The sequence below is a fragment of the Homo sapiens genome, chromosome 3 (assembly GCF_000001405.40).
Source record: "Homo sapiens chromosome 3, GRCh38.p14 Primary Assembly".
NCBI classification, from domain to species: Eukaryota; Metazoa; Chordata; class Mammalia; order Primates; family Hominidae; genus Homo; species Homo sapiens.
In genome coordinates this window covers 180,847,695-180,875,107 of record NC_000003.12, presented here as the reverse complement: position 1 = coordinate 180,875,107, position 27,413 = coordinate 180,847,695, and the positions used below count along the sequence as shown (strand labels likewise).

The 27,413-nt window shown below is 38.8% G+C and overlaps 2 long non-coding RNA genes across 2 annotated transcripts in view; one reads left to right on the top strand and one right to left on the bottom strand.

Moving 5' to 3' along the window:
• Positions 1-4,391: 4,391 nt before the first annotated feature.
• LOC105374240 (uncharacterized) lies at positions 4,392-6,926 on the bottom strand. The gene is made up of 3 exons (XR_924752.3): positions 6,813-6,926; positions 6,272-6,417; positions 4,392-5,040 (listed from the first exon to the last, which is right to left on the bottom strand). It is a non-coding gene; the product is annotated as an uncharacterized LOC105374240 (long non-coding RNA).
• Positions 4,930-27,413, top strand: part of LOC101928882 (uncharacterized) — a 162,590-nt gene continuing 140,106 nt past the window's right edge. Inside the window, exon 1 of the long non-coding RNA NR_109986.1 lies at positions 4,930-5,061. This is a non-coding gene — a long non-coding RNA (uncharacterized LOC101928882). The remainder of the gene's footprint in view (positions 5,062-27,413) is intronic.

Genomic DNA, 27,413 nt, shown 5'->3' with positions numbered 1-27,413 from the left:
ATTTTATTTATTTATTTATATATTTTTGAGACGGAGTCTTGCTCTTGTCGCCCAGACTGGAGTGCAATGGCAGATCTTGGCTCACTGCAACCTTTGCTTCCCAGGTTCAAGTGATTCTCCTGCCTCAGCCTCCCTAGTAGCTGGGATTACAGGAGCCCATCACCACATCCAGCTAAGTTTTTGTATTTTTAGTAGAGATGGGGTTTTGCCATGTTGGCCAGGCTGGTCTTGAACTCCTGACCTCAGGTGATCCACCTGCCTCAGCCTCCCAAAGTGCTGGGATTACAGGCATGAGCCACTGTGCCCAGCCCATACATAATAATTACACACTTATGTCTCAATGGGTAATGAGTTACCAAGACTTGAAAGGTGTGTTGTAACATATTCAATAAATGGTTAGTGATAGCCTAGTGTGAGAGGAAGGAAGAAAGGAAGGATAGAAGGAGGGAAGGAAGAGAAAAAATGAAGAAAAGAAGGGCGAAAAAATGAATGAAGAAAAGAAGGCAAGAAAGAAGGAAGAAAGGAATAATAAATTCCACCTAAAGTCTGCTTGCATTCTCAATTAGATTGGTCATCTTATGAATTTGTCTGTTGCAGTTCCATTTTGAGACATAAGTGACATTTATTAAAGATACTATTTTAGGTTATCTTCATGCAGGCAGTACTCTATTTGTTCAAATGGTATATTATTACCAATCAGACAATTCTCTATATGCAACTAAAGTAAAAACTTTAAGCAAGCATATATGCAGGAGTGGTTAAGAGGATAATGTCATTCTAGCTGTGTACTGTTTCAAGTGATTTTTTTCAAATGCTATAGAAAAATATGAATAAAGGAATGTTTATTACTCATTGCAGTATTGTTTTAATAACTAAAAATGGGAAGGAATCTAAATATCCATTAATAGATAAGATTGAATAAATAAATACACCCTACTATTGAATATTATGCAGCTGCTAAAATGAGCTCGGTACACAGACTTGGAAAATTGTCAAAACAAATTATTAGGCCCAGTGCGGTGGCTCACGCTTGTAATCCCAGAACTTTGGGAGGCTGAGGTGGGTGGACTGCCTGAGCTCAGGAGTTTGAGACCAGCCTGGGCAACATGGTGAAACCCCGTCTCTACTAAAATACAGAAAATTAGCTGGGAGTGGCGGTGTGCGTCTGTAATCCCAGCTAGTCAGGAGGCTGAGTCAGGAGAATCACTTGAACCCAGGAGGTGGAGGTTGCAGTAAGCCGAGATAGCGCCACTGCACTCCAGCCTGGGCGACAGAGTGAGACTCCTTCTCAAAAAAAAAAAAAAAAAAAAAAAAACCAAAAAAACAACAAGGCCAGGCATGGTGGCTCATACCTGTAATCCCAGCACTTTGGGAGGCTAAAGTGGGTGGATCACCTGAGGTCGAGAGTTTGAGACCAGCCTGACCAACATGGAGAAACCCTATCTCTACGAAAATAGCAAAATTAGCTGGGCATGGTGGCACATGCCTGTAATCCCAGCTACTTGGCAGGCTGAGGCAGGAGACTCACTTGAACCCAGGAGGCGGAGGTTGCCATGAGCCGAGATCATGCCATTGCACTCCAGCCTGGGCAACAAGAGCGAAACTCCATCTCAAAAAAAAAAAAAAAAAAAACAAAATAACCTCCCAAATTAATAACTAAAAATGCAAGTCATAGAAAAATACATTTATGATTTCATTTATGTAAAATATTCAAAGTTATGTGTGTGTATGCAAATACTTATAAAAAGGAACGGAACTTTGAGATTGCTTGAATCTTTTATAATAGAATATATTTATGAGTTGCTTATAAAATTAAATAGACATCTGAAAGTGGCAGTTACATTTAGGTTCAGATTGGTTCATTTTATGTTTAGTTTAGCATGTAGCTGGGTACAAAATTAGTCTCTTTGTTCTATTTCTTTTGGTTTCTTGTCAGTTTTTAAGGCAGCTATTAATATATCACAGTTACTGCCTAAAACATATGGGCATTCCATCTAATTTCCTAAAACTGTCACTCTCAGAGAAAACTCACTTAGGAAGATTCAAGGAGAAAAGTCCAGGAACTCTGCCCTTTGCTGGTTTTGGGATAAGGTTCTCAAGACTTTAAAAAATAATTATTTATTATAGTTTTTATTCATAATCATAATCAATTTAACTATTTCCTCAATATTCTTCTTATATAAAAAGGCTTTTCTCTGAGGCTCTGAATGGATGAAGTTTAAACCTTCTAAATTAGGACCACTGAAACCTTCCTTTCCTTCCTTCTCTCCTTCTTTCCTCCCTCCCTCCCTCCCTCCCTCCCTCCCTCTCTCTCTCTCTCTTTCTTTCTTTCTTTTGAGACACAGTTTCGCTCTCGTTGCCCAGGCTGGAGTGCAATGGTGCCATCTCGGCTCACCGCAAACCCAGCCTCCCCGGTTCAAGCAATTGTCCTAGCTCAGCCTCCCAAGTAGCTGGGATTACAGGAATGCACCACCACATCCGGCTAATTTTGTATTTTTAGTAGAGACAGGGTTTCTCCATGTTGGTCAGGCTCGTCTCAAGCTCCCGACCTCAGGTGACCTGTCTGCCTTGGCCTCCCAAAGTTCTGGGATTACAGGCGTGAGCCACCATGCCTGGCCAGGACCACTGACATTTTCTAAAGAGAAATCAAACACACAAATAGCAACTCCCCTCCCATTAAATTAAACAGGACACCAGGAAAATAAAAAATTCATGCATGTTGCTCTATCAGTGAAAATGCCTTTGGCTGCAGATAACCTAAAACAATGACTCGATTCACTTAATGAGGAAAACATATACTTTCACTTAGCAAGAGATTTTTCTAAGATTGCCTGGGAAAATAATGGGTCCCCAACAGAGCTGAGAAGTGGGCTCTTGTTTCCAGCTAAGGGTGGATCAGGAAGTATAAGAACAGAACATTTGGCCCATGTCATAGGAGTTGTAGTTGGAAGGGTCCTGCAGGATAGTGTCCAAAGAATCCATGAAACCAGCTTTAAGTGTGACTCAGCTTTAAACATCTGCCAAAACCAGAGAGCGCAAAGCCGTCTTAAAATAGTACCAGTCAAGGAAGAACTTTCTGCTTCCCTTTCTTCTCCTCCCTCCTCGTGTTCCAACTAAGAGGGGTCAGCTACAGCAGCTGAGAATGTGAGAAGAGGTGAACAAACAAAACAAAGATTACCATGTTCCCTTTTGCAAAGACAGATAGATGGCCTGCCACAATTACACCCTAACTGGGTAAAGGAGTGAGTGGAGGGAATCCTATTTTTATTGAAGGTTGAGGCTGAGTGCGGTGGCTGACGCCTGTAATCCCAGCACTTTGAGAGGCTGAGGCTGGTGGATCACCTGAAGTCAAGAGTTCAAGACCAGCCTCGCCAACATGGTGAAACCCCGTCTCTATTAAAAATACAAAATTAGCTGGGTGTGGTGGCGCATGCCTGTAATCCCAGCTACGTGAGAGGCTGGGGCAGGACAATTGCTTGAACCCAGGAGGCAGAGGTTGCAGTGAGCTGAGGTTGCGCCATTGCACTCCAGCCTGGGCAACGAGAGCGTAGACTCTGTCTCAAAAAAAAAAAGAAGGTTGAAGTATTGATTAACATAATGGCCTGGGCATTGGAGTTTCACCTTCTAGTCTGTGTAATGTGGTTTAAAGTGGTGATTCAACTTTGTATTGCCTAAGCATGAAAAGGAAAGTTAATCCTCCAAGGAGCCAGAAACAAATTCCTTTATTGAATATAATTTTCTGAGGGATAGTGGGAAATAATAATTTCCTGAGATCTATTGATTAGAAATATTCTATTTCTTTTGTGTCTTTAACTGCTCCCTCTATATTGGCTACTTTGCACAAGCATTTAAACGTGTTCAAGTCACCTCTATTTTAAAGAAAACACCTCATCTCCACACTCTAGCTATATTGATCTCTTGCTGTCTTCTTCCTTTTAAAGTCAAACTTCCAGAAAACATTAGGTGGGTGGCACGGGTGACTCTCCCAGGACCCTGAATTCCTGATTTCAGCAGTGGGCACATGATTCTGACTCCACAAATCATAATGAGCTATCTCTATGGGAACAGTGATTGGTCTAAGGAGTAGGTCTGTGACATAAACAGTTTCAGTCAGAGTACGTACTTCCTTGAGATTACTACTTGGAAGTTGAGAAGCCTGAAGCTCCTGGGAAACCTAGTTTTTGCCTCCACTACCTTACTGATCATGCATTTGCAAGATTAAGTATTTCCAATATTTATTATTATAAACCACATATTATATCTTTGTTACTATCGCTGTAGTATATGACCTGGAACGGCTAGACTAAGGTATATGCATATTTTTTAAAAAACAACTTTACTGAGATGTAATTCATATATCATACGGTTAATCTACTTAAAGTACACAATTCAATGGTTGTTAGTATATTTATAGTTGTGCAACTATCACTGATACAGAATGGCTGGGTTCCCAGCTAAACCCCACCCTTAAGCCTGGAATCACGGCCTTGAAAACAGCTGACCCTGTTTTTCTGCCCAAATGTTGTTTTTTTGGCCTGCCACGCCCCTATCCTGTGGCCATAAAAAAGACTTCAGCTGGCAGAGCAACACAAGCGGCTGAGCGGTGAGCAGAGAAGCAGCAAGAGTGTTGAAGACTACAGATAGACGCAGCTAACTTCAGATGGTGCGGCTTCAGGGAAAGATGACCCTCTTTCACCGTCTGCTTTCCAGTACCCATCCCACCAGGAGCCACCACTCAATCAAATCTTCCGCATACACTACTCTTCAATCCGTTCATATGACCTAATTCTTCCTGGACGCCGGACAGGTACCCCGGTGCCGAGAGGCCAGGGCTTGGACGCTGCTGTGAGGCCCGCACAGAGCCTATTCCCGCCAGAGAGGAGTGACCGGCCGGTTCCAGCATTCGGTCGCTCCGGTTCCCGCACTCGCACGCTCTGCCGCCAGGAGTGGCAGGAGGCGAGCTGAGTGAAATGAGCTGCTCCAGTTCCCGCCCACGAAGGGGGTTAAGATGAAGGGAACAATCCTGTCTCATCTGGGGGCCTGTCCAGGATATGAAAAACAGTGAGTTAAAATGAGGAACTTTTGGATCTGTGTCTTTTCCAAGACCGTGGCAACTCTCTCTTTCCTTTAGGTGAAAGGAATGTTGGTTTTGTTTCCCGTCACAGAGGTCTAGCAGGTCTGAACCAGGGGAGGGATACAGTGATTAAAGAAACCCATTTCAACAGAGCAAGAGGCTCTTCCCTCAGGTCCCCCCAACTTAGAGATACTTGAAGCTTTTTTTCTTTTCTAAGCGAGAGGATTCTTTTCCTACCTCAGCACTTTGCTTATGTTAGGGAGGCAACAGAGGAGCAACCCCTCCTGGCTGATAACTGCAAATTTGGCAAAGTCCATGTGGGACTTAAATCTAAATGAATCCATGCAGCCTCTGAAATACCTTCTTTTTTGGTCTCAAACTTGATTCTAAACTTCAGGTTGAGGCCCTAGAAAGGAAAACCAGATCTGAGGGAACCGAAGCCACGCAACAGTCCCAGTGTAAATGGGCAGGACCGATTCCTGCCAATTAACCCCCCGCTTCATGCAAGGAAGCCATGCTCCATGGTATAAATGAGGCCCAGGGAACTCAAAGGTTGTCGACAGTAGGGGAGGTAGAAGCACAGATGAGTGTGCGTAATTCCTATTTTCTAGGCCCTCCCTGCTTCCTGGGTGCAAGCCACATTGGCACCCATGGGTGGCACCTGCCAAGGTTGCCGAGACTCAGACAAAAAGAACAGAAAGGGAGAATGCCCGCTTTCTTTCTCCCTCACACCTCGAAATTTCACTGAAAGAAGAAAGGGAATGAGAGACGCCAAATTCCCTGTCTTTCAGAATGGGCAACCAACAAACGTGACCACCTCCAGTTTATACTTAGAAATGCACCCTGGGACCAGATAGTACTTTAGGGGACCTCCTGAAAGTAGCCACCTTGGTCATTTAGACACAAGGAAGAGGCAGAAGCTTTAATGACCACCATGCAAGCCCACAGACCCCAGAATTCCTCAGGTTCACCTGTTAACTGCCACAGATGTGACAAGAGCACTTATCTCTCTCATAAAGTTTAACTTCTCCCATACAAGGTTTAATTTCTTTCACCAGCGTGAGACAGCTTGGGGTACAATGTTACTAGTATATTTCACTTTTTATTTCTGTAATATTTCACACTAGATTCTTTCCTTGTATAATACATGTTTGATCCATGCATATTTGGCCATGTAAAGCTTGTTTTTTCTCTCACCTCGAGGCCATCAAAGCTCCAAACAGGCAGGCAGCCAGAGCCTCGGACTATGGCTCCCTTTCGCTGGGGATCCTTGGGTAGACTTCTGGGAGGAATCCAACTGCCGCTTTCGTTAAACAACGGAAAGACTGGTCGTTGTCCATATCCTAATGGCAGTTAGATGTGCCTCTTCAGAGGGGGGAAATGATACAGAACGGCTTGGCTCCTGGCTAAACCCCACCCTTAAACCTGGAACCACAGCCCTGTGTGAAAACAGCTCACCCCATTTTTGCCCTCAAATGTTGCTTTTTGGCCTGCCATGCTCCTATCCTGTGCCCATATAAAAAAGACTTCAGCTGGCAGAGCAACACAAGCGGCTGAGCGCCGGGTATATGCGCAGCAAGCAGAGAAGCAGCAACTGAGTGTCAGAGACTACAGATAGACGCCGCTAACTTCAGATGGTGTGGCTTCAGGGAAAAATCACTTTCTTTCCGCACCATCCCCTTTCCAACTCCCATCCTGCTGAGAGCCATTACCCAGTAAAATCTTCTACATACACTACCTTTCAATCCGTGTGGGTGACCTAATTCTTCCTGGATGCCAAACAAGAACTCAGGTGCCGAGAGGACAGGGGCTTGGATGCTGCTGTAGGGCCCGCACGGAACCTGCTTCCGCCAGAGAAGAGTGGCCAGGTCCAGGGTTCATTCTCTCCAGTTCCCACACTCCCTTGCTGGCACACTCTGTCTCATGAGGAGTGGCCAGTGGCAGGCTAAGTGAAATGAGCCACTTCCATTCCCACCCACGAAGTGGGTCAAGGGAACTATCCTGTCTCATTTCTATAATCAAGTTTAGAACATTTTTATCACCCCAAAATAATATTCTATGCCCATTAGCAGTCACTCCCCATTCCAACCCCAGTCCTTGGCAACCACTAATTTACTTTGTCACTGTAGATTTGTCTATTCTGGACATTTCATATAAACGAAATCATATAATGTGTTTTTTTTTGTGGTGGTTTCTTTCACTTAGCGCAATGCTATCAAGGTTGATCTATGTTGAAGTGTGTATGAGAATTTCATCCTTTCTTATTGCTAAATAATGTTCTACCGACTGGATGGATATACCACATTTTATTCATCCATTCATCAGTTGATGGACATTTGAATTGTTTCGTTTTCTGGTAGTTATGAATAATGTTGCTCTGAACATTTGTGTACAAGTGTTTGTGTAGATGAATGTTTTCATTTGGCCTGAGTATATACCTAGGATTAGAATTCCTGGATCATATAGTAACTCTATGTTTAACCTATCGAGGAAATGCCAGACTATTTTCCAAAGCTGTACCATTTTACATTCTCACCAGCAACGTACAAAAGTCCAAATTCCTCCACATCCTCACCAACACTTGTTATTGTCTGTCGTGTATATATATGCATGTATATATATATATACACATACATATAATAGCACAATATATATCATAAGCATAAATATAAAATGTATGTATATGTATACATACATACATATAGTGCAATTCTAGTGGTTTTGAAATATCTCATTGTGGTTTTGATTTACATTTCTGTAATGGCTAATGATGTTGAGCACCCTTTCATGTGCTTCTTGGCCATTTATACTTCTTTGTGGAAATGTCTGTTCACTTTGCCCACTTTTAATTTGTTATTTATCTTTTTATCATTGAGTTGTAACAGTTCCTTATACATTCTAGATACTAGACCCTTACCTGACATATGATTTGCAAGTATTTTCTCCAATTCTGTGGGCTGTCTGTTCATTTTCTTGGAAGTATCCTTTGATGAACACAAGTTTATTTTGATGGTATGTTTTGTTTAATTTCTCTTTGGTTACTTATGCTTTTGGTGATGCATCCAAGAAACCATCATTTGAACCAAGGTAAAAATATTTACTCGTGTTTTCTTCTAACATTTTTTATAGCTTTAGCTTTTATATTTATGCTTATGATATATCTTGTGCTATTTTTTGTATATGGTGTGAGGAAGGGTCTAACTTCCTACATTCTTTTACATGTAACTATATAGTTGTCTCAGCACCATTTGTGAATATTCTATCCTTTTACTCATTGTATGGTCTTGGCAACTTCATTAAAAATCAACTGACTGGGCCAGGTGTGGTGGCTCACACCTGTAATCCCAGCACTTTGAGAAGGTGAGGCAGGAGAATAGCTTGAGCCCAGGAGTTTGAGACCAGCCTGGGCAAATAGCAAGACTCTGTCTCTACAAAAAATAAAAAACAACAACAACAAAAATAGCCAGGCATGGTGTCTTGTGCCTGTGGTACCACCTGTGGTACTTGGGAGGCTGAGGTGGGAGAATTGCTTAAGCCAGGGAGGTCGAAGCTACAGCCATGATTGTGCCACTGCACTCCAGGCTGGGCAACAGAGTGAGACCCTGTCTTAAAAAAATAATAATAAATAAAAAATTGGCCAGGTGTGGTGACACACACCAGTAGTCCCAGCTACTCAGGAGGCTGAGGCAGGAGGATTGCTTGAGCCTAGGAGATTAAGGCTGCAGTGAGCCATGATTAGGCCACTGCACTCTAGCCTGGGCAACAGACTGAGACCGTGTCTCAAAAAAAAAAAAAAAAAAAAAAAAAAAACTCACTGTAAACTGAGTGGGATGGCATGTGCCTATAGTCCCAGCTGCTTGGGAAGCTGAGGTGGGAGGATTTCTTGAGCCCAAAAGTGTGGTGTTGCAGTGAACTATGACAGTGCCTCTGCACTCCAGCCTGAGTAACAAGGCAAGACACTGTCTTAACAAAAAAATCAACAGACTGTAAATGTAAGGGGTTATTTCTACACTGTTAATTCTGTTCCACTGATGTATAGTCTGTTCTGTTTCATGACCATACTGTCTTTATTACAGTAGCTTTGTAGTAAGTTTCAAATCAGGAAGGGTGAGTCCTCCAATTTCGTTCTTTTTTCCTGATTGCTTTGGTTATTCTGAGTTACTTGAATTTCCATATTAATTCTAAGATCAGCTTGTCTATTTCTGTAAAAACTTCAGTGATGTTTTGATAAGGATTGCATTGACTCTGTAGATCAGTTAGGGGAATGTTGTCATCTTAATAATAGTAAGTCTTCTAATCCATTATGAAGTGTATCTTTGTTTTTTTAGATCTTCTCTAATTTCTTTCAATAATGTTTTGTAATTTCCCATGTATGTATCTCAGATTTTTTTTGTTGCTGTTGTTAAATTTGATCCTCAGTATTTTATTCTTTTTGGTGTCATTATCAAAAAATTATTTTTATTGATTTTCTTTCAGATTGTTCATTACTAATGTGTAGATATATAATTGATTTCTGTGTATTGGTCTTGTATTTTGCAAACTTGCTGAAACTGTTTATAGTTCTTATAGTTTTTTTTAGTAGATTCCTTAGGGTTTTCTTTATACGGGATTATCATTTTCAAATAGAGATAGTTTTGCTTCTTCCTTTCCAATCTGGATGACTTTTATTTGTTTTTCTTACCTAATTTCCCTGGCTAGAACCTCCAGTACAATGGTGAATAAAAGTAATAAAAGCAGACACATTGTCTGTTCTTGATTTTAGGGGAAAGCATCCAGTATTTTACCATTAAATTGATGTTAACTGTAGGTTTTTTATAGATGCCCTTAATCTGGTTGAGGAATTTTCCTTCTGTACCTAATTTGTTGAGTGTTTTTATCATGAAAATGCATTTGATTTTGTCAAATGTTCTTTCTGCATCTAATGAAATGATCATGTGGGTTTTATCCTTTATTCAGCATATATATATTTTAAACTTTAACAGATAATACAAAATTGCTCTCAAAAGCTATAGCAATTTATATTTCCAAAAGAAATCATGAAATTTCCCATTTCCTCATTTTCAGCAATGGTTATTATTAAGTTTTTTTACCTGTCAGTCTAATAGATGAAAAATGCTATCTCATTGTTTTGTTTCTGATAACTAATGAAGTTGAAGCTGTTTTAATACTTTTGTTACTTTTTCTTGCAAATTGCTTGTCAATATCCTTTGATCATTTTTTCTACAGCCTCTTTTGTCTTTATTGTAAATTTGTGGAAACTTCTTATATATTATAGCGATTTAGTCCATGCCAGTTACGAATATTATAGACATTTTCTTGAAGGTCATAAAAAGATACTTCTGGAGAATAGAAGAAATCACTTTGCCTCAAACACATTAAAATGACTTTTTACCTAAGATCTTAGGTTAGAAATATATAAAACTCAGTGACTCTTTTTTTAGGCCTTAAAAAAAGTCAAGGGTTTTTCATCACATCTTTGACACATTTAAAATTATATTCTCAGATTCTACTGATGTCTTTTTGCTAAAAAAAAAAAAAAAAAAAAAGAAAACTGATCATAAAGAAACTGAAAGTTTCTGGGTGTTAAAAACTATCATTATAACTATGTCTCATAATTTTCCATGCTTCCTTCTGGTCTCTTTCAATTATATACTAACCTGCTCTTGCCTGCTGAGATGAATTGTCATTCCCAAAGAAAATGGTAGTTTGTGTCTTTCAAAGAATTTTAGTAGTTCGTCCCAGTTGCTGAATTTAAAGGCATAACGTTGCTTATAATATATTCTTATTATACATTTAATATCTGTAGAATCTTTTTTTTTCTTTTTTTTGAGATGGAGTCTTGCTCTGTTGCCCAGGCTGGAGTGGTGCGATTTCGGCTCACTGCAACCTCCACCTCCCGAGTTCAAGCCATTTTCCTGTCTCAGCCTCCTGAGTAGCTGGGATTGCAAGCACACACTACCATGCCCAGCTAATTTTTGTATTTTTAGTAGAGACGAGATTTCATTACGTTGGCCAGGCTGGTCTCGAACTCCTGACCTCAAGTGATCCACCTGCCTCAGCCTCCCAAAATGCTGGGGTTACAGGCATGAGCCATGGCGCCTGGCCTGTAGAATCTTTAAATTAATTTACCTCTCTCATTCCTGATCTTGGTCATTATATCTTTGCTTATTTTTTCTGATCAGGCTGGCTATAGGTTTGTCAATGTTACTCATCTTCTCACATAACCAGCTTTGTTTTTATGTATTGTTCTCTAATGTTTTTCTAGTTCCTATTTTATTGACTTCAGATGTGGTCCTATTATTTACTTTATTCTGATTAGTTTGGATTTTATTTTCTTTCCCAGTTTTTTAAGATAGAAGCTAAGCTCATTGCTTAACAACCTTTCTTTTTTTCTAATATAGGTGTGTAATTCTCTAAATTCCCCTCTAATGCTTATGGTGTATTCCACATATTTTAACACGTTATATTATCTCAGTTTCAAAACTCAAATTTCCTTATTGATTAATTTGACCTATTAGTTACTTAGAAGTATGTTTTTTAAATTTTCAAGTTTTGAGGGATTTTTCAGATATTTTTCTGTCATTGATATCTGATATAATTATATTCAAGAACATACATTGTATGATTTCAATTCTTTCAAATGTTTAAGTTTTGTTTTATAACCCAAGACGTATGGCCTCACTTTATCAATGTTCCAGGTGCATTAAAGAGAATGTTTCACTTTTCTTTTGTTTTGGATATTTTGGGTTTTTGTTTTAGCAATGGGGGTCTTGCCCTCTCACACAGGCTGAAGTACAATGGCGTGATATAGCTCACTGCAGCCCCGAACTCCTGGGCTCAAGCGATGCTCCCACCTCACCCTCCTGAGTAGCTGGAACTAAAGATAGTGTATATATTTTTTTGGGGGTGGATTGTTTTGTAAATGTCAACTAGGTCGAGCTGATTAATAGTGTTGTTCAAGTCTTTTATACCCTTACGGATTTTCTGTCTACTTGTTCTGTTATTGAGTCAAGGGAATTGAAATCTCTGACTCTAACGGTGGGCTTCTCTATTTCTCCTTGAAGTTCATAGACTTTTTTTGCTTCATTTACTTTATTTTTTAATTTTTTTCTTCATCTGCTGGTAAGAACAAAGATTCTTCATGTATTTCAAAGCTTTGTTATTAGGTGTTTAAATATTTGGAATTATTTGGAAGACCGAGTTCAATTTCTTGATGGGTAGCCAAAATAAATAAATCCATAAATGTTTAGGGTTATTGTGTCCTCTGGACAAATTGACTCATTTATTATAAAGTTACCCTCTTTATTCTTGAAAACATTTTTTGCTCTACAATATACTTTGATATTAATAAAGTCTCTACCATTTTATTTTGATTAGTGTTAACATGGCGTGTTTTTTCTGTTAACATTTAACTTGTTCGTGACTTTGTGTTTAAAATGGATTTGTTGTAAGTAGGATATTGTTGAGTCTTATTTACCTTATCCAATCTGACAATATCTGCCTTAAAATAACTTTTTAAATTTTTATAGATTTAGCAGGTACACATGCAGTTTTGTTAAGTGGATATATTGCATAGTGACAAAGTCTGGACTTTTAGTGTACCCATTGCCCAAATAGTGAACATTGTACTTAATAGGTAATTTTTCAACCCTCACACCTTCCCACCTTTTGGAGTCTCCAATACTAATTACTCTACTCTTTATGTCCCTGTGTACCCATTATTTAGCTTCCACTTATATGTAAGAACATGCATTTATTTCAGTTAGGGTCTTGGCCTCCAGTTGTTCCATACACATTGCTGTAAAATACATGATTTCATTCTTTTTTTATAGCTGAGTAGTATTCCATGGTGTATATACCCTACATTTTCTTTATTCAATCATCCATTGATGGACATTTAGATTGATTCCATGACTTTGCTATTGTGAATAGTGCTGCGGTAAACATTCAAGTGCAGGTGTCTTTTACATAAGGATTTCTTTTGATAGTTCCACTTTCAGCTCTTTGAGAATGCTCCATACTGTTTTTCTTAGAGGCTGTACTAATTTACATTCTCACCAACAGTGTATAAGCATTTTCCTTTCTCCACCTTCTCACCAACATATATTGTTTTTGACTTTTAGTAATAGCCATTCTGAATGGTATAAGATAGTATCTCATTGTGGTTTAAATTTGCATTTCTATGATGATTAGTAATGGTGAGCATTATTTCATATGTTTGTTGGCTGCTTGTATGTCTTCTTTTGAGAACTGTCTGTCCACACCCTTTGCTCACTTTTTAATAGGGTTATTTGTTTTTTTCTTATTGACCTGTTTGAGTTCCTTGTAGATTCTGGATATTAGCCTTTTGTTAGATGCATAGTTTATGAATATTTTTTCCCATTTTGTAGGTTGTCTGTTTACTCTGTTGATTGTTTCTTTTGCTGTGCAGAAGCTTTTTAGTTCAATTAAGTCCCATTTGTCTATTTTTGTTGCATTTGCTTTTGAGAACATAGTCATAAATTATTTGCCTAGGTCAATGTCCAGAAGAGTTTTTCCCAGGTTTTTTTTTTCTAGGATTTTCATAGTTTCCAGTCTTATGTTTAAGCCTTTAGTCCATCTTGAGTTAATTTTTGTATATGGTAAGTAAACGGGTTCAATTTTATTCTTCTGTATATGGCTATCCAGTTTCCCAGCACCATTTATTAAATAGAGTGTCCTTTCCTCCCAATGTATGTTTTTGTCAGCTTTGTCTAAGATCAGTTGGTTGTAGATATTTGGCTTTATTTCTGGGTTCTCTATTCTGTTCAATTGATCTATGTGTCTATTTTTATACCAGTACAATGCTGTTTTGGTTACTATAGCCTTGTAGTATAATTTGAAGTCAAGTAATGTGATGTTTCCAACTTTGTTCTTTTTACTTAGGATAGCTTTGGCTACTCAGGCTTTTTTTGGGTTGCATGTGAATTTTGGAATTGTTTTTTCTAATTCTGTGAAAAATGACATTGGTAAGTTGATAGAAATTGCATTGAATCTGTAGATTGCTTTGGGCGGTATGGTCATTTTAATGATACTGATTTTTTCAGTCCATGAGCATAAGATATTTTTCCATTTGTTTCTGTCCTCTATGATTTCTTTCATCAATGTTTTGTAGTTCTTCTTGTAGAGATCTTTCATTTCCTTGGTTACATGTATTCCTAGGGGTGTGTGTGTGTGTGTGTTGTAGCTATTGTAAATAGAATTGCCTTCTTGACTTGATTTTCAACTTGATTATTATTGGTGTATAAAAATGCTACTCATTTTTATTCATGGATTTTTGTATCTTACAAATTCACTAAAGTAATTTATCAAATCTAAGAGTGTTTTGAAGGAGTCTTTAGGGTTTTCTAGGTATAAGGTCATATCTGCATCAAACAGATAATTTGACTTCCTCTTTTCCAACTTGGGTGTCTTTTATTTCTTTCTTTCTCTTGCCTGATAGCTCTAGCTGGGACTTCCAGTACTATGTTGAATAAAAATAATAAAAATGGGCTTCCTTTTTCTGTTTCAGTTCTTACATGGAATGCTTTAAACTTTTCCTCATTTAGTGTGATGTTGGCTGTTGGTCTGTCATAGATGGCTTTTATTATTTTAAGGTATGTTCTTTCAATGCTTAGTTTGTTGAATTTTTTTTAAACTATGAATGGATGCTAAATTTGCATCCTCTCCTTCCTTCCTTCCTTCCTCCTCTCCTTCCTTCCTCCTCTCCTTCCTTCCTTCCTCCTCTCCTTCCTTCCTTCCTCCTCTCCTTCCTTCCTTCCTCCTCTCCTTCCTTCCTTCCTCCTCTCCTTCCTTCCTTCCTCCTCTCCTTCCTTCCTTCCTCCTCTCCTTCCTTCCTTCCTCCTCTCCTTCCTTCCTTCCTCCTCTCCTTCCTTCCTTCCTCCTCTCCTTCCTTCCTTCCTCCTCTCCTTCCTTCCTTCCTCCTCTCCTTCCTTCCTTCCTTCCTCCTCCCCTTCCTTCCTTCCTCCTCCCCTTCCTTCCTTTCTCCTCCCCTTCCCTCCCTCCCTCTCTCCCTCCCTCTTCTTTCCGTTCTGTTCTTTCTTTCCGTTCTGTTCTTTCTTTCCGTTCTGTTCTCTTTCCGTTCTGTTCTTTCTTGCCGTTCTGTTCTTTCTCGTTTCCTGGCTTTGGTATCAGGGCAATCAATATTGGATTCATAGAATGAGCTAGGGAGGTTTCTCCCCTTCTCAGTTTTTTGGAACAATTTCAGTAAGATTGGTACCAGTTCTTCTTGTAGGTCTGGTAGAATTCAGCTATAAATCTATCTGATCTTGGGCCTTTTTTTAAATTGGGAGATTTTTTTTTAATTACTGATTTAATTTCATGACTTATTATTCACCTGTTTAGGGCTTTTATTTCTTCCTGGTTCAATCTTGGGAGGTTGCATATTTCCAGGATTTATCCATTTCTTCTAGGTTTTTCAGTTTACTCCTGTAGAGATGCTCATAGTACTTTCTGATGATCTTTTGTAGTTCTGTGATATCGGTTTTAATGTCATCTTTATCATTTCTGATTGTGCTCATTTGAATTTTATCTTTTTTTCTTGGTTAATCTAGTAGCAATCTATCAATTTTGTTTATCTTTTCAAATAACCAGCTTTTTGTTTCATTAATCCTTTCTTTTTTTCTTTTTTGTTTCTATTTCATTTAGTTCTGCTCTTATCGTTGTTATTTCTTCTGCCAGCTTTGGGTTTGGCTTCTTCTTGTTTTTCTAGTTCTTGTGGTGTGACATTGGGCTGTTAACTTGAGATATTTCTCATCTTTCAATCTGGTTTTGTTTGTTTGTTTTTTGAGATGAAATCTTGCTCTGTAGCCCAGGCTGGAGAGCAGTGGCACGATCTTGGCTCACTGCAATCTCTGCCTCACCGCTTCAAGCAGTTCTCCTGCTTCAGGCTCCTGAATAGCTGGTATTACAGGCACCTGCCACCAGGCCCAGATAATTTTTGTATTTTTAGTATAGGCGGAATTTCACCATGTTGGTCATGCTGGTCTCTAACTCCTGACCTCAAGTGATCCACCTGCCTTGGCTTCCCAAAATGCTGGGATTACAGGTGTGAGCCACTGCACCTGGCCTTTCTGCTTAATGTAGGCATTTAACCCCATAAACTTCCCTTTCAGCACTGCTTTTGCTGTAACCCACAGGTTCTGGTATGTTTTGTCTCTATTTTCACTCATTAAAAATTTTAAAATATGTTCTGCCTTAATTTAATCACTTAACTAAATATTATTCAGGAATAGGTTGTTTAATTGTTTAGTTTTGAGAGTTCATCTTCATACTGATTTCTATTCTTGCTTCCATGTTGTCCAAGAAGATACTTGTTACGATTTCAATTTTTAAAAAATTTATTGAGACTTTGTGGGCTAGCATATGGTATATTTTGGAGACTATTCCATGCACAGATAATATTCTGTGGTTGTTAGGTAGACTGTTCTATAAATGTCTGTTCAGTGTATTTGATCTCACTCTGTCGACCAGGCTGGAGTGCAGTGGTATGATCTCAGCTCACTGCAACCTTCACCTCCTGGGTTCAAGCGATTCTCCTGCTTCAGCCTCCCAAGTAGCTGGAATTACTGGTAGGTGTCAGCATGTCTGGCTAATTTTTGTATTTTTAGTAGAGATGGGGTTTCGCCATGTTGGCCAGGGTGGTCTCGAACTCCTGACCTCAGGTGATCCACCCACCTCGGCCTCCCAGAGTGCTAGGATTACAGGCATGAGCCACCATGCCCTACCAGTCTATTTGATCTTGAGTCCAGTTTAAGTCTAGTGTTACTTTATTGAATTTCTGCCTCAGTGATCTGTCTAGTGCTGTCAGTGGGGTGTCGACATCCCCCACTGTTATTGTATTGCTGTCTATTTTCTTACATCTAATAGTATTTGTTTTATGAACTTGGGTGCTCTGGTGTTGGGTGCATATATATTTAGGATTGTTACATCTTGTTTAGTTGGTCCCTTTATCATATAATGACTTTTTTGCTCTTTTTTCACTGTTATTGACTGTTTTACCTGTTATAAAGTCTGTTTTATCTGATGTAAGTATAGTTACTCCTGCTTGCTTTTGATTTATGTTTGCATAGAATATATTTCCCACCCCTTTACTTTGAGTCTGTAAATGTTTTTACCCATTAGGTAAGTTTCTTATAAACTGCATAAGCTTGGATTTTTTTTTTAAAAAAATTCATTCCCCCAGACTATATCTCTTAAGAGGAGAATTTAGTCCATTTAAGTTCAAGGTTAGTATTGATATGTAAGGTTTTTTTCCTGTTATAACGTGGTCCTGTAGTCTCAATTGTGTAATTGCTTTATGAGATCTGTGAGTTTTAAACTTTCATGTGCTTTTATGATGGTGAATGTTACTCTTTCATTTCCATCTTTAGAACTCCTTTGAACATTTCTTGTAGAACCAGTCTGGTGGTGATGAATTCTTTTAGGGTTTGCTTGTCTGGGAAAGACTTTATTTCTCCTTCATTTATGAAGCTTAGTTTAGCAGGACACGAAATTATTGGCTGGCAGTGTTTTTCTTTAGAAGACAGAAAATAGGGCTTCTATCTCTTCTGGCTTGTAAGGTTTCTTCTGAGAAGTCCACTGTAAATCTGATGGGATTGTGTGCATATATACACACACATATGTATGTGTATGTGTGTGTATATATGTTATTAGATGCTTCTGTCTTGTTGCTTTTAGGATTTCTCCTTTTATGGTGAGTTTGGAAAGCCTGATGATTATATGCCTTGATGAAGTTTATCTTGCAAAGTATCTCTCAGGTGTTCTTTCAGTTTCTTTTATCTGGATGTCTGAATCTCTAGCAAGACCAGTGAAGGTTTCCTGAATTACTTTCTCAAATAGGTTTTTCTTCTCCCTCAAGAATACCTATTACTTTTAGATTTGGTCGATTTACATACTCCCATATTTCTTCAAGTCTTTTTACATTTTAAAAGTTCTTTGTTCTTTATTTTTGTCTGACAAGGTTAATTTGAAAGAACTGTCTTCAAACTCTGAAATTCTTCTGCTTGGTCTAGTCTATTGTTAAAGCTTTTCAACTGTATTTTGTAATTCCTTCAATGAGCATTTCATTTCCAGAAGTTTTGTTTTGTTTTTTTAAAAAAATCTCTTTAGTAAATTTCTCATTTATATCCTGAATTGTTTTTTTGATTTATTTGTATTGGTTTTCAACTTTCTCTTGGATCTCCTTTTCTTTTCTTTTTTTTTTTTTTTTTTGAGACAGAGTCTTGTTCTGTCGCCCAGGCTGGAGTGCAGTGGCATGATCTTGGCTCACTGCAAGCTCTGCCTCCTGGGTTCATGCCATTCTCCTGCCTCAGCCTCCCAAGTAGCTGGGACTACAGGCACCCGACACCATGCCCAGCTAATTTTTTGTATTTTTAGAAAAAACGGTTTCACCGTGTTAGCTAGGATGGTCCCAATTTCCTGACGTTATGATCCGCCCTCCTCGGTCTCCCAAAGTTCTGGGATTACAGGCATAAGCCACCGCACCTGGCCCTTTCTTGGATCTCATTGAGCTTCCTTACAATCCATATTTTAAATCCTTTATCTGTCATTTCAGAATTTTCATTTTGGTTAGGATTCATTGCTAGAAAGCTAATGTGATCCTTTGGGTGGTATTGAAGCACTCTGCTTTTTAATATTGCCAGAATACTTATGCTGGTTCCTTCTTATCTGGAGAAGCTGTCACTTCTTATTTTTTAATTTACTTTTGCTTGAATGGGACTTTTAAAAAGCATTTCCCCCACTTGAGGGTATGACTGTAATGTATATTGTGTGGTTGTTTGGCTTTGATTCTGTGTGCTTTCAGGGGCCCAAGTCTTATGAGTTTCTTGGTTATAAATAGCCTTTGTGCGGTGGCTTTCTCAAATCCTGGTTGTAGCAGTGATATGCTGAGCATATGAACACGCTTACTGCACATGGTGGGACTAGAATTGCAGAGGTCTCAAGAAGCTTATTTTATTCGACAGTACTGTGCACTTCTATCAGCACATTTTATTTTTATTTTTTATTCATCTATTCTTTTTTTTTGAGACAGGGTCTCCCTCTGTCACTGAGGCTGGAGTGCAGTGGGATTATCTTGGCTCACTCCAGCCTCAACCTCTTGGGCTCAAGCAATCCTCCCACCTCAGCCTCCTGAGTAGCTGGGACTACAGGTGTGTGCCACCACACCTGGCTACTTTTTGTATTTTTAGCAGAGACGGGGGTTTTGCCATGTTGCCTAGGCTGGTCTTGAACTCCTGGGCCCAAGCAGTGCCCCCACCTTAGCCTTCCAAAGTGCTGGGATTACAGGTATGTGCCACAATGCTTGGCTTCTATCAGCACATTTTAAATTAGATTATGCAGTTCAACCTCAATATCAGTAGGTGGCACTTATGGGTAAGAGCCGGTTGTGGCAGAAGCTGATTGGTATGCTCTTGATCTTTGTTTACCAGGAGGGGCACTCTGTTGTCTCAGTGGGTGGGCTGGTCTGTGGAATGCCCGGTGCTTGGAGTTCCCTGCTCAACCCTGAGGTGGGGACAAAGCTGGGCAGCACTGGACTGCTAAATTCACCCACAGATACCTCAATGATCCATTCAAGTACCAGACCTGATGGGACTGATGACAGAAGCTGTGAAGGGAGGGATTCTGCACCAACTCCACATGCTGAGCAGTCAGGAAAACAAACCACATCCCTATCATACCCTTGTCCAGAGGCCCCTGACTTTCAGTTCAAATAAAATCTGTCATTTATCTCCAGTCTGCAATGTAGCTGAAGGCTGTGGAAGACACCAGTACAAAACCTCTCTGTGTAAATGGCTTCAAGGTGGAACCTCTTCCCTCAGCCCCAAGCTGACAGTTTTGCAGGTTGCCCAATCTCCACTGCAGGAATGCTGATACTCCCTATAGAGAGGACGAGGGGCCAGCCATTCATGCAAGCCCAGGCCTGGTGGGTACATACCCAGGGAGGTACAGCTGCCCCTAATAGCATTGGAATGGTCATCTATAGGCATACCCATGCCAGTCTCTTGCCAGAAGAGCTGTGGTTGCATCCAGAGCAATGGGTAAGGGGGAAGAAGTCTCCCTCTACACATCTGTCTGCAAGCACTGGTACCATCTGGCTGCACCCACGTCTCCAATGGGAGAAGTGCAGTCACCTTCAGCTCACAAGTGAGGAGCTCTTAGGCACAGAAAAACACATGCTTTGGTGTCCTTAGTCCCAAGGGGTGCTTTGGCACACTGCACTCTTTCTTCCTGTAGGAAATTTGCATTGAAGGTTAGACCTCTGGGAATCCTGCAGCTCCCTGGGTCCTGCCAGTCCTTTGTGGTTGCCACAGTCCAAGGTGCTGGGGAATGTTTTGCAGGGGGTCCAGTGATGCAGAGACACAAGGACTGAGATGTCCAGGGTGGGACAGAGGCCCACAATGGGTGCACAACCAGTATGGTGTCCACCATCTCAGCTAAGGTCTGGACTGAGGGCAGTGACCCTGCACAAGCTGGTAGCCTAGTGCTCAGCCCTCAAGAAGTTCCCAAATCACTGCCTACGCCAATGCTAGAGCTTGCAAGTGCAGAGTGGCTGACCAACAATTCAGAAAAGAATAGTTTGCTGCAGGAGTGAGGGGAGCAAACAACACCCTCACCTACCTTTTCCACAGGACTCCAAGTTCCTCAGGGTTCAATCTCTGCCATAACCTTGCTTCATTCTTTTTATTTTCTTTTTTTCTTTTTTGTTTTCGAAAAAGGGTCTTGCTTTGTCACCCAGGCTGGAGTGCCATGGAGCAATCACTGCTCACTGCAACCTTGACCTCCTGGGCTCAAGCAATCCTCCCACTTCAGCCTCGTAAGTAGCTGGCATGCACCACCACAGCCAGGTAACTTTTTGACTTTTAGAAGAGGTGAGGTCCCTGTATGTTGTCCAGGCTGGTCTCAAACTTCTGAGCTCAAGCACTCCTCCTGCCTTCGCCTTCCAAAGGATTGGGATTGCAGACATGATCCACTGCGCCCAGCCTTATTTTTTTTTCTGCATCTCAACTTTTTCTTGTGATTTCTGTAATATGCCCTTGCACTCTTCTCTCAGTATTTTACTGGGGCCATGATTATTCCCCTGTAACCTTGGTTCGTTTTTTCTGAGAACTGGCATCCAATGTCTCTAGTAAGCCATCTTGAAAAACCTCTGCCTTTTAATTGAGGTGTTTAGATCATATAAATTTATATGATAGTATGAATATTGAAATGTTTGGGTTTAAATCTATCATCTTGCAATTTGTTTTGTGTGTACTACTGTTCTTTGTTCACTTTTTTTCTTTTTCTGCCTCATTTTAGATTGAATATTTTATTCTATTTTATCTCCGTTATTAGCTTATCAGCTATAATTCTTCTATGGTTTTTTAGTGGTTGCTTTATGGTTTACAGTATACATCTTTAACTTATCACAGTATATCTTAAAGTGATATTAAATCATTTTTCATATAGTATAACACCTTAAACATTATATTTGCATTTGTTTCCTCCCAGGCTTTGTGCTATTATTGTTACATATTTTACTCTTTCATGTTATAGACCCCAGAATATATTGTTATTTTTACTTTAAGCAGTCAATTATCTTTTTAAGAGATTTAAACAATAAGAGATAATATCTTTATAATTATTCACATAGTTGCCATTTCTGGTGCTCTTCATTCCTTTGTGTAGATGCAGATTTCCATCTGGTATCATTTTTCTTCTGATTGAAGAACTTCCTTTAACTTTTTTTTTTTTTTTGAGATGGAGTTTCACTCTTGTTGCCCAGGCTGTAGTGCAATGGCGCGATCTCAGGTCACTGCAACCTCTGCCTCCCAGGTTCAAGTGATTCTCCTGCTTCAGCCTCCTGAGTAGCTGGGATTACAGGCATGCACTACCAAGCCTGGCTAATTTTGTATTTTTAGTAGACATGGGATTTCTCTATGTTGGTCAGGCTGGTCTCAAACTCCCGACCTCAGGTGATCCACCCGCCTCGACCTCCCAAAGTGCTGGGATTACAGGTGTGAGCCACCGTGCCTGGCCCTTTAACATTTTTTATAGTGAAGTTCTGCTTGCTGGTGATGAATTCTTTTAGGTATGAAAGAGTTTTTGTTTGCCTGCATTTTTAACAGACATTTTTTCTAAGTATAGAATTCTAGGTTAATACTTTATTTCTTTTAGTATTTTAGATATGTTACTCCACTGTCTTCCAGCTTGGATTGTTTACAATGAGAAATCTGTGCTCTTTTTTATCCTATTTCTTATGTACGTAGTGTGTTTTTCCCTACTGGCTGCTTTTAAGATTTTTCTCTTTATCAATAATTTTAAGCAATTTGTTAATGATGTGACTTACTATATTTTTCTTCATGTTTTTGGGCTTATGGTTCATTCATATTTTTAAATATATGGGATTATAGCATTTATAAAATTTGGAAAATTCTTAGATGTTATTTCTTCTAATGTTCTTTTTTGCCTTCCCATCTCTCCTCTCCTTTGGAGACCTCAGTAATGCTTGCGTTAGACTACTTGAAGCTCTTCTGCAGCTTAAAAATGTTCTGTTAATTTTTTTCATCTTCTTTCCCCGTCTAGATTTTTCATTTTGTATAGTTTCTATTTCTACATTTTTCATTCACTAATCTTTTCTTCTGCAACGTCTTCCTGTAGTTAATTTCATTCCATGTATTTTTCACCTCAGACATTGTAGTTTTCATGCATGTTCAATCATTTCTGTAACTTACTGAACATATGGAATATAGTTATAATATGCTTAAAATATGTGTTTTAATGTCCTCTATTTTATAATCAGTGTCATTTCTGGATTAGTTTGTATTGATTCATTTTTATTCTCGTTAAGTAAGAGTCATTATTCCTCTGCTTATCTGCATGCCTGGTAATTTTTGACTATATGTAAGAGATTATAATTTTACATCATTGGGTAAAATAAATTACTTTTTTTAAATTTTATTATTATTATACTTTAAGTTTTAGGGTACATGTGCACAATGTGCAGGTTTGTTACATATGTATACATGTGCGATGTTGGTGTGAATAAATTACTTTTCAATACCTATGAATATTATTGAATTTTTCCTGGGATATGGTTAAGTTACATGGAAATGATTTGATCTTTCTGGATCACATTTTGTTAGGCAGTACCAGAGTAGCATTTACTCTCAGACTTATTTTGTTCTACTTCTGAGGCAAAATGTTTTTATATAATCTACCTTGTATTGCACAAATTATGAGATTTTTCCAATCTGAGTGAGAACAGGAATGATTTTCAGTCTTGTATGAGGATTGTACCTTTGAACCATTGAATATTTTTTTCCCTGGTGTCTTGTATTTTCCTTACATGTATACATTGATTAGTACTCGGTTGAATATGCTAAAAGCATCCTCTGCAGACCTCTGGAGTTCTCACTCAGTGCAGATTTCTCTCTCTAGCACTCTGCTTTGTGAATTCTACCTGCCTTGGCTGGTCTCGAACTCCTGGCCTCATGTGATCTGCCTGTCTCGGCCTCCTAAAATGCTGGAATTACAGGCGTGAGCCACCATACCCGGCCACTTTATCTGTTTTGTATTTAATTGTAAAGCTCACCTAATTTGTTTCCTTTCTCTCAGATATGAGTAGCCTTTTTTGTCTAACGTCCAGTGTATTTTAAGCTGTCACATCAAACTAAAAAGTTTCTACACAGTACAGGAAACAATCAACAGAATGAAGAGACCACCTATGAAATAGGATAAAAAAGTTGTAATCCACATATCTGATAAGGGGCTAATATCTTATAAAACATATAAGAAACTCAAAAAAGTCAATAGGAAGAAACCAAATAACCTGATTAAAAAATGGGCAAAGGAACTGAATAGAACTTTCTAAAAAAAAAAAAAAAAAGACATACAAATGACCAACAGGTGTGTGAAAAAATGCCCAATATCTCTAATCATCAGGGAAATGCAAATCAAAACTACAGAGATATTCATACCTGTTAGAATGACTATTATCAAAAAGATAAAAGATAACAAGTGTTGGCAAGGATATGGAGAAAAGGAAGCACTTGTGCACTGTTGGTGGGAATGTAAATTTGTAGAGCCATTTTAGAAAACAGCATGGGGGTTCCTCAAAAAACTAAAAATTAAATTACTATGTGATCCAACAGTACTGCTACTGAGTATCTATCTAAAGGAATTGAGGCTGGGTGCGGTGGCTCATGCCTGTAATCCTGGCATTTAGGGAGGCTGAGGCAGGTGGATCACTTGAGCTCAAAAGTTTGAGACCACCCTGACCAATATGGTGAAGTCCCATCTCTACTAAAAATACAAAAATTAGCCAGGTGTGGTGGCGGGCACCTGTAATCACAACTACTTGGGAGGCTGAGGCAGGAGAATCTCTTGAGCCCAGGAGGTGGAGGTTGCAGTGAGCTGAGATTGTGACATTGCACTGTAGCCTGGGTGACAGAGCACAGTGAGTCTCTGTCTCAAAAAAAAAAAGAATTGAAATCAATATGTCATCAGATATCTGCACTCCCATGTTTGTTGCAGACAAGATGCATAATCAAGCTTAGTGTCCATCAGCAGATGAATGGATAAAGAAAATGTGGTACGTGTACACAATGAAATACTACTCAGCCTTTTCTAAAAAGAGGAAATCTTGTCATTCACAGCAACATAGGTAAACCTAGGGGACATTATGCAAAGTGAAATAAACCAGGCACAGAAAGGCAAATATAATCTGTCTTATATGTGGAGAATAAAAAAATTGAACTTGGCTGGGCGCGGTGGCTCACGCCTGTAATCCCAGCACTTTGGGAGGCCAAGGCAGGTGGATCACAATGTCAGGAGATTGAGACCATCCTGGCTAACATGGTGAAACCCCGTCTCTACTAACAATACAAAAAACTAGCTGGACTTGGTGGCAGGCGCCTGTAGTCCCTGCTACTTAGGAGGCTGAGGCAGGAGAATGGCATGAATCAGGAGGCAGAGGTTGCAGTGAGCCGAGATCGTGCCACTGCACTCCAGCCTGGGTGACAGAGTGAGACTCTGTCTCAAAAAAAAAAAAAAAAAAAAAAAAAATTGAACTCATGGAAGCAGAAAGTAGGATGGTGATTGCCTGGTCTGGGAGTCAGGGATGGAGGCAGCAGAAATGAGATGTTGATCAAAGGGTACAAAGTTTCAGTTAGACAGGATGAATAAATTCTGGGAATTTATTGTGCAGCATGGTAACTGTAATTAATAGTAATGTAGGATATGATTGAAAATTGCTAAAAGAGTAGGTTTTATGTGTTATCACCACAAAAATGCTAAGTATGTGAGGTGATGAATATGTTAATTAACTTGATTTAATTCACAATGTATACAGATATCAAAATGTTATGTTGTACATTGTAGATATATATAATTTGTCAATTATACCTTAATAAAGCTGGAAGGAAATAAAAAGAAATCATATTTTAAAACACCATTATTTGATATATTTTATCTGATTTTTGGTTATTTCAGGTGGGGCAGTATATCTGGTCCCTGGTACTTCACATTGGCCAGAAATAGACATCCTTCATACCATTTAACTGCCTATTTGCCCAACCAAGTATAAAGCCTCAGCTTCCTACCTTTGTAAATCAGACTACTCAAAATAACTTCAACTCCAAGAATTTCTGGCATCTTCCTCCCATCACCTTATTCCTGCTCATTATTTCTTTGTGTCATGTATTGACTTGTTAATAAGCCAGGGCTAATGAATGAATGTTTTCTATCCTATGCATTGATTTTTAAAGAAAATTTTAAAAAGTAATTCTTCTGCTTATAATAGTAAAAATGCTCGGTCTAAGGACACTGTGTCAAGAATAATTTAAAAATCACCTGTAATTACACCCCTCAGAGATAAATGCTGTAAATATGCTGTTGTTAGTTTACCTCAGGATCGTTTCTATATACAGATGCTCCTGGACTTTTGATGGGGATATGTCCCAGTAAACCCATTGTAAGTTGAAGATATTGTAAGACAAAAATGCACTAATACACCTAACCTATTGAACATCACAGCTTATCCTGGCCTACCTTAAATGTGCTCAGAACACTTCCACTAGCCTACAGTTGGAGAAAATTAACCAAAAGCGTATTTTATAATAAGCTATTGAATATTTCATGTAATTTATTGAATACTGCATTGAAAGTGAAAAACAGTATGTTGTATCGGTACTTGAAGTATGGTTTCTACTGCATGCATATTGCTTTCACACCATTGTAAAGTCAAAAATTGTAAAGTTGAACCATGGTAAGTCAGAGACCATCTGTATCTATTTTTTAATGGAATCATATAAATATGCAATTCTGCATTCTGCTTTTTTTACTCAATATTTTAATAAACTTCTGCTCTATGATTGAAACTTTTTGAGAAGTGATTTAAATGGGTACCGAGTATTTCATTTCACTATAATCATATTCAAATAATTTCTAATACTCACTATTATATATAACACTATACAAAAGTATTTTTTGTACCTCTGATTATTTTTAGAATAGAGTCTTAAAATGGAACTACTAGACCAAACAGCATAAGCTTGTGTAAGGCTCTTAGTGAATATCATCACTTTCTTTTTCTCCCGTGATTTCCTACCAGTTTTTACTCCTGTCAGTTGTATGTGAAAGTGTCTATCTCATTATCTTACTTTAATTGAATATCAAAAGATCAGGGGCTTCCTAGAGAGAGGGAAAAAGTTTATTCACAAGACATTATTTAAATGATGGAAATCTTAGGTGCCATTGTTGTTAGTAGCTTCCAATGCTTCTGAAAGTAGTTGTGCAGTTTGTCCACTGAACAGAAGCACCTAACTAAGGTGGCTAGGGGAGGCTAAAATCCAGCTCATGTTCTGCTTTCCAAATTTAGACTATAGTCTAAATTTAAATTAGATTTGTCTGATTCTAAACCAACTATGTTATATTGCCAATGATAGATTTTTAGTTAAGTGTTCCTCAAGTTTCCCCATTAGGTTTTACAGCCAGGTAAAATAATCATGATTTATCAGTCACTAAGAAAAAATACAAAATATAATTGTTAGAAAACCTTTGTACTCTGACTTGGAATGAAAATCTCTACTGTGATTACCCAATGAAAACTTGTTTGTGTAATATGAAGAGAAATAAATTTATAAAAAATTTATAAAATTAGATAATCTTGGAAAAGAATATTGCTATTTTCTGCCTATTGTGTTTCGTGATGAAACCACTTACAGAATAGTACTTGTTCACACCCCTCACAGAATATTATAACTATATTAATTTTAGTAAAGAGGTATGGGAGAGAGGATTGTGGACAACATAGGGACAAGGTAGGAAAATTATTTATTTAATG